This window comes from Homo sapiens, chromosome 8, assembly GCF_000001405.40.
Source record: "Homo sapiens chromosome 8, GRCh38.p14 Primary Assembly".
Classification (NCBI taxonomy): Eukaryota; Metazoa; Chordata; class Mammalia; order Primates; family Hominidae; genus Homo; species Homo sapiens.
Genome location: NC_000008.11, coordinates 54,038,830 through 54,052,159, shown reverse-complemented (window position 1 = coordinate 54,052,159; position 13,330 = coordinate 54,038,830). Strand labels below are relative to the sequence as shown.

The window sequence follows — 13,330 nt, the reverse complement described above, 5'->3', positions numbered from 1 at the left end:
TTATTTTTAGACCAGGTGCGGTGGCTCATGCCTGTAATCCCAGCACTTTGGGAGGCTGAGGCGGGTGGATTACCTCAGGTCAGGAGTTCAAGACCAGCCTGGCCAACATGGTGAAACCCCATGGCTACTAAAAATACAGAAATTAGCTGGGCGTCGTGGTGCACACCTATAATCCCAGCTACTCAGGAGGCTGAGGCATGAGAATCACTTGAACCCAGGAGGTGGAAGTTGCAGTGAGCCACGATTGTGCCACTTCACTCCAGCCTGGGTAACAGAGCAAGACTCTGTCTTTGGGGGAAAAAAAAAAAAAAAGATAGCTGAATAAAACAGCAACTCAAAATACTAAAACAACCAACCAAACAAACAAAAAAAAGCTGAAAATATAAAGATGGATTAAAATATAATCTGCTTGGCTGGGTGCAGTGGCTCACGCCTGTAATCCCAGCACTTTCGGAGGCCAAGGCAGGTGGATCACAAGGTCAGGAGATTGAGACCATCCTGGGTAACACAGTGAAACCCTGTCTCTACTAAAAAATACAAAAAAATTAGCTGGGCGTGGTGGCACGTGCCTGTAATCCCAGCTACTTGGGAGGCTGAGGCAGGAGAATTGCTTGAACCTGGGAGGCAGAGGTTGCAGTGAGCTGAGATCACGCCACTGCACTCCAGCCTGGGCAACAGAGCAAGACTCCGTCTCAAAAAAACTAAACGAAACAAAAAAATGTATATATAATCTGCTTCAAGGAACTCATTCACTGGGAAGATATATATTATAATATGAGGCAAGGTGATCATACATCCTATAGAAGTCAAAGGGATGTGGTGAGTATATGGATGAAGGAATTTTATTTTTTTGGCCAAATGTAACTTCTAATATGTTATATATATGCATATTTATGTACAATTTTAAATGCCTGGCATAGTGTCCTATACTTTTACAAAAATAAAACTATTTCTTCTTTTGCTTTTTGCAGGGTCCTATCGGTGGTGCTAATAGAGATATTTCTATTCTCCAGTGCCACGGGGATTGTGACCCTTTGGTTCCCCTGATGTTTGGTTCTCTTACGGTGGAAAAACTAAAAACATTGGTGAATCCAGCCAATGTGACCTTTAAAACCTATGAAGGTATGATGCACAGTTCGTGTCAACAGGTAGGTGTCTAGAAGCAGTGATCAGCGCCATATTTGTAACTTTTTTCATGTGATATTTTCAAGAAAAGTAACATTTGAATGCTTGGGGATTTAAATGAGTTAATTCATATTGAGTCATAAGTTAGCAGTCATTAGATGAGTGTGTATTCAACTTAATTCAACAAATATTTACTGATTGGCTATTATACACAGCATTGTACATAATTCAAAGATGAATAATAAACATTCCCTTTCATTAAAATTTAAGATAAAATTTAATAGAAAGATGCATGTCTAAGTAACTGTATGGATAGCAGAATGTGATATACATTGTATTAGAAGCTTTAAAAAGTGCCCTTGGAAAATAACAAAAGGTGCCCTGAAAAACTGAGAAGAGATTAATTTTATCTTAGGAGGCACTGAGACCATGATGAAACAGCTAGATTTTGAAAAACGGTGGGATTTGGATAGCAAATGTGCAGAGAAAGAACTATAGGACAGGAAAAGCAAGCCATTCAGTCTTAGGAAAAGCTGGGCATGATAGGACAGAAGACATAGGGAACAGAGACTCTTTGTGCTGAGAAGGGACTTACTAGACTTACTCTCTAGGCAGCAGGAAGCTGTCAGTGTTTTTGGTTGAAGTGAGATGTGATCTGATCTACATTCTAGAGACAGGTGATCCAGCAGGATTTAGAGATTAATTATGTGGGGTGTAGTAACCAAGGAAGTATCAAAAGGGCCTGAGATTTCTAGTTCTGATGCCATCATAAAAAGTAGGTGCAAGAAACAGTTTTAGAGTAAAGGAAGGAGATAATACTGAGTTTAATGTATTGAGATCAATGTGCCCCCACAATATCAAAATAGGATATTGGAAATACTTGTCTGAAGTTCAAGCCTGGAAATGGAGATTTGAAATAATTACTAATATAATTGATCAACGAAGAATTATCTTGAGAAAGCATTATAAGAAAAAAAGCTCAGGGATAGAACTTTGGGGGACACATTACAGTTTAGCCTAATGAGAAAAGGAGTTAGGTGTTGAGAGTATGGGTGGAGAGAATTTCAGAGTGGGAAGGAGATGTGTAATGTGTTCCAGAGAAGGATTAAGGAGAAATAGTTTAGGAAGAAAGTACCCAATATTAAGCCACCTGTGACCTTGGATGTTTGGGTAGATAAAGCCAAAATGCAAAGGATTGTATGAAGTGGATAGGGAAATGAGGAAGCAGAGGCAACATGTATAGACCTTTTAAAAAAGTTTTGGTAAACAGGAAGAAGAGTAGGAAATCTGTTCTTCAGTGGGATCAGAGAAAGACCTATGAGTGGAAGGAGGGAGGAAGAAGATGCAGTAAAGAGAAGATAATTGATAGAGGCATTCTCAGAGGGATCATAGAATAGAATTAAGTCCTGAGATGTATAGTGCTTGCCTTAAAAGAGGAGAAAACCATTTTCAATCAAGATAGAAGAGGACAGGCCGGGTGAGGTGGCGGGCACCTGTGGTTCCAATTACTCTAGAGGCTGAGGCGAGAGGATCACTTGATCTCCGGAGGTTGCTGCTGCAGTGAGCCATGTTGGCACCCTGCACTCCAGCCTGAGTGACAGAGTGAGACCCTAAAAAAAAGAAAGAAAGGATGGATGAATATAAACAGGAGATGGAGAGAGAAGAGAGTGCTTGGGAGCTCATATTAGATGTGCTTATCTTTTCAGTCAAGTAGAAGGTGCGATCACTTGATAGAATGAAGGAGGCCGGAGGCCTGGATAGGTCTGGAGGCTTGAGAAGACCTAGAGTAAAAATTGATTCCTAGTGAGATAGTCATACTGACAGTTTTACAACCACTCAGCCTGGGTTAAATAATTTAGGGACGGAGAAAGAGGTGGTAATATGATTTATCCAGAAAGACAAGGGTGCCTGGGAACCTGAACCTAGGGTGTTCTCCTACTGATATAGAGTATTACAGTGTTGAATCCAGAAAAGAGAGGGCAGGGGAAGTCCTGGAACCCTTAATGTGTGCAAGAGGGACTGAAGGTCTCTAGAGCAGCTGTTTTCTTCATGGGCTTTGTATCACAAATACCTTGGAGCTTCATAAAAGCTCTATAGATGAGTCTACAACAACTCTGGGCTGAATGAGGAGGAGCAGAAAATGAGGAGAAGTAGGATAGTGGGAGGTGATCTCACAGGAAACTCTTTGGGACTTCAGAGTATTGTGAAATAGAACACTTTCATGCTGGGGCTCTTTTCTGAGTGACTAAATTACAAGGCTGAAGGTTAGCTGCATTGCTACTATTTGGCACTGTGAGGCTAAGTAAGGCCTTGAAATATAAGAGCTGATAGCAGGAAGTGAGTTTGAGGGAGGTGAGAAAACTGAGCCAAATGCAAGAGGCTAAGAGGAGAAAGTTTCTTCTATGATAAATCTTTGGTATATTAATGTTCATATCTTCCCAGGAACATCTTAGGTACATGCTCTCTATCAAATGGTTAGTTGTATGTAATTCTTTATGAAAGACACAGCATAGTTAATGCTATGGATTTAGCGCATAATTCAGTTTGAAGAATGGTAGAAGCTCTGCTTTGTCACTCATACTTAGTTGTCAGTAATTGTTCACTTACTGAGACTTCTCAGTGTAGGCACCATCGCTTCTAAACTTCCCTGCCCCCCAGTGTCTTATATTGTTCCAGTATAGGAAGATGCAGAACTAGATACTGGATGGGAGCTGTCATTTCAGTGTACAATAATCATGATAGGAAATGTCCTGAAATTTCTGTTGGAGCCTCATTTCTCTTTTGTCTTATTTAATTGTAGTAAAAATGTGATTTCGCCTTTATGCATACCATAGATTTGATTAGTGGCATTTTAGTGGGAATTTAATTTCTGACTTACATAACTACCTACCTATTAAATTACTTTATTCCAAACAGGAAATGATGGATGTCAAGCAATTCATTGATAAACTCCTACCTCCAATTGATTGACGTCACTAAGAGGCCTTGTGTAGAAGTACACCAGCATCATTGTAGTAGAGTGTAAACCTTTTCCCATGCCCAGTCTTCAAATTTCTAATGTTTTGCAGTGTTAAAATGTTTTGCAAATACATGCCAATAACACAGATCAAATAATATCTCCTCATGAGAAATTTATGATCTTTTAAGTTTCTATACATGTATTCTTATAAGACGACCCAGGATCTACTATATTAGAATAGATGAAGCAGGTAGCTTCTTTTTTCTCAAATGTAATTCAGCAAAATAATACAGTACTGCCACCAGATTTTTTATTACATCATTTGAAAATTAGCAGTATGCTTAATGAAAATTTGTTCAGGTATAAATGAGCAGTTAAGATATAAACAATTTATGCATGCTGTGACTTAGTCTATGGATTTATTCCAAAATTGCTTAGTCACCATGCAGTGTCTGTATTTTTATATATGTGTTCATATATACATAATGATTATAATACATAATAAGAATGAGGTGGTATTACATTATTCCTAATAATAGGGATAATGCTGTTTATTGTCAAGAAAAAGTAAAATCGTTCTCTTCAATTAATGGCCCTTTTATTTTGGGACCAGGCTTTTATTTTCCCTGATATTATTTCTATTTAATACTCTTTTCTCTCAAGAAAAAAAAAAAAGTTTGTTTTTTCTTTATTGTCCTTCATAGCAGGCCAAGTATTGCCTCTCTGCAATAGACAGCTACTGTCAATACATGCTGTAATTTGACATTCTGGGTCACAGATATAAGGTATTTAAAATCTATTTATGCTTTATAGAGAAACCAGACATTAAAACTTCATGCACTACTTATTTCGAATTACTGTACCTTATCCAAATTTACACCTAGCTATTAGGATCTTCAACCCAGGTAACAGGAATAATTCTGTGGTTTCATTTTTCTGTAAACAACTGAAAGAATAATTAGATCATATTCTAGTATGTTCTGAAATATCTTTAAGACTGATCTTAAAAACTAACTTCTAAGATGATTTCATCTTCTCATAGTATAGAGTTTACTTTGTACACGTTTGAAACCAACTACTGTAGAAGATGAGGAATCTATTGTAATTTTTTGCTTTATTTTCATCTGCCAGTGGACTTATTTGAAATTTTCACTTTAGTCAAATTATTTTTTGTATTAGTTTTTGATGCAGACATAAAAATAGCAATCATTTTAAATTGTCAAAATTTCCAGATTACTGGTAAAAATTATTTGAAAACAAACTTATGGGTAATAAAGGCTAGTCAGAACCCTATACCATAAAGTGTAGTTACCATACAGATTAATATGTAGCAAAAATGTATGCTTGATATTTCTCAACTGTGTTAATTTTTCTGCTGTATTCCAGCTGACCAAAACAATATTAAGAATGCATCTTTATAAATGGGTGCTAATTGATAATGGAAATAATTTAGTAATGGACTATACAGGATGTTAATAATGAAGCCATATGTTTATGTCTGGATTTAAAAATTTTAAACAATCATTTACTATGTCATTTTTCTTTACCTTGAAGAACATAAACTGTTATTTCACTTCTACAAATCAGCAAGATATTATTTATGGCAAGAAATATTCCATTGAAATATTGTGCTGTAACATGGGAAAGTGTAAATGTTTTTCATGGTTTCTATCAATGTGAAATAAAATTTAATTCTGACTTTTCTGTGACTTTGAGTATTTTAATATTTGGAATGTTAACATTTGGAATGAATGTCTATAATGCAATGGAGGAAAATAACAATGTACTTAAAAGAATATATATTCAGAGAGAGAAATTTTGATGATGGTGTGGTTGACTTAGAATGGAACCAGGCATAAGAAATAATCTCATGTTATTCAGTTTTAATTGGCTAAAAAAAAATTTCCCAAATTTGGTTTTCAATGTTTCTACCTATTTAAGAAGTTTTATTTGGTGTTTATCTTTTGTCTTTTTCTTAACTCTTTTTAAATTTTATTTTATTTTATTTTATTTTTGAGACAGAGTCCCATTCTGTCACCCAGGCTGGGGTGCAGTGGTGCGATCTCGGCTCACTGCAACCTCTGCCTCCCAGGTTCAAGTGATTCTCCTGCCTCAGCCTCCTAAGTAGCTGGGATTACAGGAGCCCACCACCATGCCCAGCTAATTTTTGTATTTTTAGTAGAGACAGGGTTTTGCCACGTTGGCCAAGCTGGTCTCCAACTCCTGACCTCAGGTGATCCACTCGCTTCAGCCTCCCAAAGTGCTGGGATTATAGGCGTGAGCCACTGTGCCCGGTCTTTTTCTTTAATGTAGTATTCACTGGGTTTTTTAAATTAGTGTCATAAGTCAGTTATCCAAGTAGTTTTTCTCCTTTATTTCAACATTGACTTCTGACTTTTCCGAATATAGGAATTCCTTCTGTCCTGTTAAGCAGTCCTTCGCTTTCTGCTTTTGGATACTTAAGTGACCACCTCACTTTTTTGTGATGCAGCTTGTTCAATTTTTGGATAGTTCTCGTGGTAAGAAAATTCTGGACCAAATATGTTGTCTCTAACTTCAGTTCGTTTTATAAAATGTTTATCTTTCACATCAGCACTGTATTTCATATGATAATCTTTAGTTCATGATCCTTTTAAAAATAATTTTGTTAACTACTAAATGTGGTCAGAGCTTGGTACTGACTGTTATGATCTAATTACCAATGGGTAACAATAGTTGTATCTATATGTAAATAGTTGGGTAATTTGCCTACTGTTGCAGCCACTCTTACTGCTGCATTTTGAAAGTATAAATAGTTTTAAATCCTCTTAACAAGTACCATTTTATTTTGTAGAAATTCCTAAAAAATGAAAATGTAATTATTTAATATATGCTGGGCACTATACTAAGCATTTTATATCCTTTAAGCATATAGTCCTCTGATCAACCATCTTGATTTTACAGAAGAGGAAACTCTAGAGAAGGAAACTATTTACTTAGGATTCCAGAGCTATTAATGTGCAAGAGCCAGGATTCAAATTCATGTGCCTAACTTCATGGTCTTTATAACCTTGCTCTGTGCCCCAGTGGGGTAATTTAAATGCTTTGAAACACACAAATGATGTGTATTTCATATAATACAGGACACATGGAAATGCTGAGTAGAACTATGATACAAATCAGCTCACCATAAAGTACAATCTCCAGTGGCCAGAGAGAACTAAAAGGAAACTAAAAACCCGCATGACACAGTTAACTTTGGGGCTTAAGATGAGATAAGGTATGTAAGTAATTCACCCTTATTTTTTTTATTTTAAAATGTTTTTGTAGAGATGGGGTCTTGCTATGTTGCCCAGGATGGTCTCGAACTCCTTGGCTCAAGTGATCTCACCGCAGCTTCCCAAAGTGCTGGGATTACAAACAGCCACCATGCCCAGCCAAGCCAGGACCCTTTTAAGGGCAGTGCACATAGGTGAACTAGAAAAAAAAAAATCTGGCCCCTTCCACCCCGTCACCCCCCAGCATAGGGAAGTGGAGGGAAACTTGCCTGTTTTGGTCTGGGCTGTGGACTGGGAGAGATGAAATCATCCCTCAAAACTTTTTCACCAGGAGTTTGTGTTCATGTGCATTTTGATTTTCAAGGTATATACCATTTATGTGGTCTGTCAACACACGAAGTTAAATATTAACGTCAAGAATCTCCCTGGACTGGCTTTACTCTCAGGCACCTGGAAGAAGCAAACAAATACTTTATGAAGACTGACAGCCTCAGAATTTAAATTCTGAGGTTGCATAAATTTAACCTTGTCAAAAATGAGCTCAGAGCCCCCACATTTCAAATCATAAGAGGGAATGATTTACCTACAGCTGAATACCAGGTGACCCGAAAGATAAAAGGAAGGCTGGGCACGGTGGCTCCCTCACACCTGTAATACCGGCACTTTGGGAGGCTGAGGCGAGTGGATCAGTTGAAGGTAGGAGTTAAGAGACCAGCCTGGTCAACATGGTAAAACCCCATCTCTACTAAAAATGCAAAAATTAGCTGGGCATGGTGGCGTGCACCTGTAATCCCAGCTACTTGGGATGCTGAGGCAAGACAATCACTTGAACCTGGGAGGTGGAGGTTGCAGTGAGCCAAGATCATGCCACTGCACTCCAGCCTGGGTGACAGCAAGACTGTCTCAAAAAAGCGGAAGAATAAGTGAAAAAGAGTAACAGTATAAAATGCAGATTTGAGGCCGGGTGTGGTGGCTCACACCTGCAATCCCAGCACTTTGAGAGGCCAAGGAGGGTGGATCCCTTGAGGTCAGGAGTTCGAGACCAGCCTAACCAAGGTGGTGAAACCCCGTCTCTACCAAAAATATGAAATTAGCCGGGAGTGATAGCACATGCCTGTAATCCCAGCTACTTGGGAGGCTGAGGCAGGTGAATTGCTTGAACCCAGGAGGCTGTAGTGAACCGATTTTGCACCATTGCACTACAGCCTGGGCAACAAAAGTAAACTTTGCCTAAAAAATAAATAGGGTCAGGTGCGGTGGTTCATGCCTGTTTCCCCAGCACTTTGGGAGGCTGAGGCAGGTGGATCATGAGATCAGGAGTTCAAGACCAGCCTGGCCAGTATGGTGAAACCCCGTCTCTACTAAAAATACAAAAATTAGCCAGGTGTGGTGGTGCACGCCTGTAGTCCCAGCTACTCAGGAGGCTGAGGCAGGAGAATCATTTGAATCCGGGAGGCGGGGGTTGCAGTGAGCCGAGATCACACCACTGACTCCAGCCTGGGCAACGGAGCGAGACTCCGTCTCAAAAATAAAAAATGCAGATTTGAAAAAAGGTTCAAAAAATGAAAAACAGCCTTTTCAAATGAAAATTTTCATCTAGGAGTGATGGCGCTTGCCAGTAATCCCAGCTATTCCAGAGGTCGAGCTGGAAGGATCCCTTGAGCCGAGTGCGAGGCTGCATTGAACTATTACCACACCACTGCACTCCAGCCTGGGCAACAGAGTGAGACCTCATCTCTGGACAAGTGTTATTTGTGACAGCACAATGTTTGATACAACCCAAATGTTGAATGAAAGTGGACCAGCTAAATAAACCATGAACATTTACTCAATGGAATGTTAGGCAGCTATTAAAAAATAAGGTGCACTGAATTCGTTAGGAAAGGATTTAGGTTATGTTATCGGATGAAAAAAATGTAAAAAACTGAAAGGGGTGGAGGAAATAAGACCATATACTTGACTTGGCTAGAATTTGCATTTAAAAAAACACTGAAAGGACATTTGAAGAGTGTAATAAAAGTAGTTAATATCTATGGAGCGTGAATAGGGAAGGAATGAAGTGAATAAGGATAGGAGTGGGAGAGAGGAATCCTGCCTTTGGGATACATTGTTTATTCTAACACAGATTTAAAAATCTGAATACATAACAAAATTTACCATCTTAACTACTTTTACCTGTATGCTTCAGTAGCATTAAGTACATTCACATTATGCAACCATCACCACCATTCATCTCAAGAACTTCATCTTTCCAAACTGAAACCCTGTACCCACGCTTTAGATTTTAAATTGTGTTAACCTGTGACCTATAAACACGATTCAAAGGCCAGGTGCGGTGGCTCACGCCTGTAATCCCAGCACTTTAGGAGACCGAGGTGGGCAGATCATGAGGTCAGGAGTTCGAGACTATCTTGGCCAATATGGTGAAACCCCATCTCTACTAAAAATACAAAAATTAGCTGGGCGTGGTGGCATGCGCTGGTAATCTCAGCTACTCAGGAGGCTGAGGCAGGAGAATCACATGAATCCTGGGGGCAGAGGTTGCAGTAAGCCAAGATTGTGCCACTGCACTCCAGCCTGGGCAACCAAATGAGACTCTGTAAAAAAAAGGAAAAAGAAAAAAGATTCAATGGATGAGTTAAACTATATTAGAGACAACAGATTTTAAAGGTAGTTCTGAGGAATTTACTCAAGGAAGCGCAGCAAACAAGGGAGGGTAGGAGACTACAAAAATAAAGTAAAAAGGTCCAATACAGGCTTTAAAAGGTCCAATACAGGCTTTAATAGAAGTTGCAGAAGGAGAGAACAGAATGGAGAGAACTATAAAATGGCTGATGTTTGCAGGGTGTGGTGGGTCACGCCTGTAATTCCAGCACTTTGGGAGGCCGAGGTGGGCAGATCACGAGGTCAGGAGTTCGAGACTATCTTAGCCAATATGGTGAAACCCCATCTCTACTAAAAATACAAAAATTAGCTGGGCGTGGTGGCGCCTGCCTGTAGTCCCAACCACTCGGGAGGCTGAGGCAGAAGAATCGCTTGACCCCAGGAGGCAGAGGCTGCAGTGAGCTGAGATCGCGCCACTGCACTCCAGCTTGGGCGACAGAGTGAGACTCTGTCTCAAAAAAAATAAAATAAAAATAAAATAAAATGGCTGATATTTTTCCGGACTTCAAGAAAGGTAAGAAACCCCAAATTCAGGAAGCAAAAAATGAGTTACTAACAGGATAAGTAAGTGAAATCTCCACTGAGACACGTGATGGTGAAGAGCAAAACAGAATACCATAGAAAAAGAATTTGTTTTCTTTTTTTTTTTTTGAGACGGAGTCTCGCTCTGTCGCCCAGGCTGGAGTGCAGTGGCGCGATCTTGGCTCACTGCAAGCTCCGCCTCCCGGGTTCACGCCATTCTTCTTCTGCCTCAGCCTCCCGAGTAGCTGGGACTACAGGTGCCCGCCACAACGCCCGGCTAATTTTTTGTATTTTTAGTAGAGACGGTTTCACTGTGTTAGCCAGGATGGTCTCGATCTCCTGACCTCATGATCCACCTGCCTTGGCCTCCCAAAGTGCTGGGATTACAGGCGTGAGCCACCGCACCCGACCAGAATTTGTTTTCTTTAGAGATGGGGTCTTGCTCTCTTGCTGGCAGTGCAGTGGTATGATCATAGCTCACCGTAGCCTCGAATTTTAGAAGCTCAAGGAATCCTCCCACCTCAGCCTTCCAAGTAGCTGGGACTACAGGCATGTGCCACCACGCCCAGCTAATTTTAAAATTTTTATAGAAACATGGGGTCTCACTGTGTTGCCCAGGCTGGTCTTGAACTCCTGGCTCTGGCCTCAAACCATCCTCCCGTTGTGGCCTCCTAAAACCCTGGGATTAGAGGCATAATCCACCACTCCAGGCCAGAAAAAGATCTTAATGGCAACCAGAGAAAAGGAAACTACTTAAGCTGTCACATTTTTTAAAAAAATGGCAAAAACCTCAATTACTTTTGCACCAACCTAATATAAAAGTTGAGGAGATGTCAATGTGGAATTTTCTGACTGAAGGCAAAAGAAAACCATTTTTAAATACATAGTTTATAAGAAAATGACTACTGGCAGAACTTTTTAAAGGTGTTTGTTCTATGAGAAAAAGAAAAGTGAATGAGAGGAAAAGCGATTCAGAGAACTGGAAACAGTGATAAGCATTTGGGTAACTAAACAAGCACTGATGACTGTGTGAAACTAATAATGCTAATCTGGGGGCTAAAATACTGGATAAAGATAAAACACACGCAAAAATCAAGTGCATTTTATATACTAGCAGTGAGCACATGGAAATCAAAATTTTAAATGCAATACCATTTTCTCTTGCTAAAAAATAGTACTTTGGGCTAGGCGCAGTGGCTCATGCCTGTAATCCCAGCACTTTGGGAGGCCAAGGCCGGGGGATCACCTGAGGTCAGGAGTTTGAGACCTGCCTGGCCCACATGGTGAAACCCCGTGTCTACTAAAAATACAAAAATTAGCCGGGCATAGTGGTGGGCACCTGTAATCCCAGCTACTTGGGAGGCTGAGACAGGAGAATCACTTGAACCCGGGAGGCAGAGGTTGCAGTGAGCGAAGATCACGCCACTGCACTCCAGCCTAGGCGACAAGAGTGAGACTGTCTCAAAAAACAAACAAAAATAGTACTTTGGGATAAATCTAAAAAATCTTTTTATAGGATTTGGAGGCAGAAAACTACAAAATGATGATGAAAGACATCAAAAAAGATCTGTATAAATGGATACATATACCATGTTCACAGATTAGAAGGTTCAGTATAGTAAAGATGTTTATTCTGTCCACACTGATATACTAATTTAATGCAATTCCTATCAGAACCCCAGCAAAATTGTTGTAGTTATACACAAGATGATTCTAAAACATATAGAAAGGCAAAGGAACTACAAAACTTTAATGTTAAAAAAGAAGGCCCAGGCGTGATGGCTCACACGTGTAATCCCATCACTTTGGGAGGCTAAGGTGAGAGGTTGCTTGAGTCCAGGAGTTCAGACCAGCTGGGGCAACATAATGAGATCCCATCTCTTATATTAAAAAATAATAATAATTAGAAAAAGAACATGGAGGGGGGTGGTCTCTGTACCAGATTTCAAGATTTACTAAATTGAGACAGTAATCAAAAAGGTATTGGCAGAAAGACACATAGATGAACAGAACAAAATAACACAGAAATAGTCTCCTCACACAAGTGCAGCCAACTGATTTGAAAAAGTTACAAAACAGTTCAATATGGCAGGGTGAGGTGGTTCACGCCTGTAATCCCAGCGCTTTGGGAGGCTGAGGCAGGTGGATCATGAGGTCAGGAGTTTGACACCAGCCTGGCCAACATAGTGAAACCCCGTCTCTACTAAAACCACAAAATATTAGCCGGGCGTGGTGGCGGGCGCCTGTAATCCCAGCTACTCAGGAGGCTGAGGCAAGAGAATCGCTTGAACCTGGGAAGCGGAGTTTGCAGTGAGCTGAAACCGCACCACTACACTCCAGCCTGGGTGACACAGCGAGACTCTGTCTCAAAACAAAAAACAAAGAAACAGTTCAGTAGAGGAAGGATAGTCTTTTCAGAAATTGTGCTGGAGCAATTGGCTATCCATAGGCAAAAGAAAAAAAAACACACGAAAAAATCTCCATCTAAATCTTACGTAGAAACTAGCCTAAAATGGATCATAGATTTAAATGTCAAATGTAAAGCTCTAAAACTTAGATAAGAAAACAGAAATCTTGGGGACCCAGGGCTTGAAATGTTTCCAAATATGACAGCAAAAATGTACTCCTTGCAAGAAAAAAAAATGAATTGGACTTCACTGAAATTAAAAACCTTTGCTGTTTTCAAAGACCCTGTTAAGAGGATGAGAAGACAGCTGAGACGGGGAGGAAATATTTGTAAACTACATATCCTGACAAATGACTAGCATTTAGAATATGTAAAGAGCTCTCAAAATTCAACAGT

At 39.9% G+C, this 13,330-nt stretch overlaps 2 protein-coding genes and 1 long non-coding RNA gene across 17 annotated transcripts in view, besides 1 other annotated feature; 2 read left to right on the top strand and 1 right to left on the bottom strand.

Moving 5' to 3' along the window:
* Positions 1-9,173, top strand: part of LYPLA1 (lysophospholipase 1) — a 58,961-nt gene extending 49,788 nt beyond the window's left edge. For 5 of the 9 annotated variants that reach the window (NM_001279359.2, NM_001279357.2, NM_001279356.2 and 2 more), the window contains 2 exons: positions 972-1,148; positions 4,042-5,793. In NM_001279359.2, coding sequence (NP_001266288.1) covers positions 972-1,148; positions 4,042-4,095 — 231 coding nt within the window. In that variant the 3' untranslated portion in view covers positions 4,096-5,793. Of the gene's footprint in view, positions 1-971; positions 1,149-4,041; positions 5,794-6,493; positions 6,604-7,206; positions 7,344-8,941 lie in introns of those variants that run through there. The other 4 variants (NR_189622.1, NR_189621.1, NM_001425837.1 and 1 more) reach the window with 4 other exon arrangements.
* Positions 1-13,330, top strand: part of LYPLA1-TCEA1 (LYPLA1-TCEA1 readthrough) — a 135,392-nt gene that overhangs the window by 49,788 nt on the left and 72,274 nt on the right. For 2 of the 4 annotated variants that reach the window (NM_001425839.1, NM_001425840.1), the window contains exon 8: positions 972-1,148. The exons of 1 other annotated variant lie outside the window; for it this stretch is intronic. In NM_001425839.1, the coding sequence (NP_001412768.1) occupies positions 972-1,148 (177 nt within the window). Of the gene's footprint in view, positions 1-971; positions 1,149-4,041; positions 4,147-4,791; positions 4,870-6,493; positions 6,604-7,206; positions 7,344-13,330 lie in introns of all 4 variants that reach the window. One more of the 4 variants, NM_001425842.1, reaches the window with a different exon arrangement.
* LOC133039971 (Uncharacterized) overlaps positions 1,384-13,330 on the bottom strand; it is a 28,744-nt gene continuing 16,797 nt past the window's right edge. The window contains exons 3-5 of one of the 4 annotated variants that reach the window (NR_189618.1): positions 9,641-9,938; positions 7,611-7,791; positions 1,384-2,735 (exon numbers count right to left, since the gene is read on the bottom strand). This is a non-coding gene — a long non-coding RNA (Uncharacterized LOC133039971). Of the gene's footprint in view, positions 2,907-7,610; positions 7,792-9,640; positions 9,939-13,330 lie in introns of all 4 variants that reach the window. The other 3 variants (NR_189619.1, NR_189617.1, NR_189620.1) reach the window with 3 other exon arrangements.
* Positions 6,247-6,440: a silencer, noted in NCBI's record as "fragment chr8:54958280-54958473 (GRCh37/hg19 assembly coordinates)". NCBI's record gives its function as "represses an EF-1alpha promoter that drives an FKBP-Casp9 reporter gene in an ReSE screen in K562 erythroleukemia cells {active_cell/tissue: K562}" and the evidence as "EXISTENCE:reporter gene assay evidence [ECO:0000049][PMID:32094911]".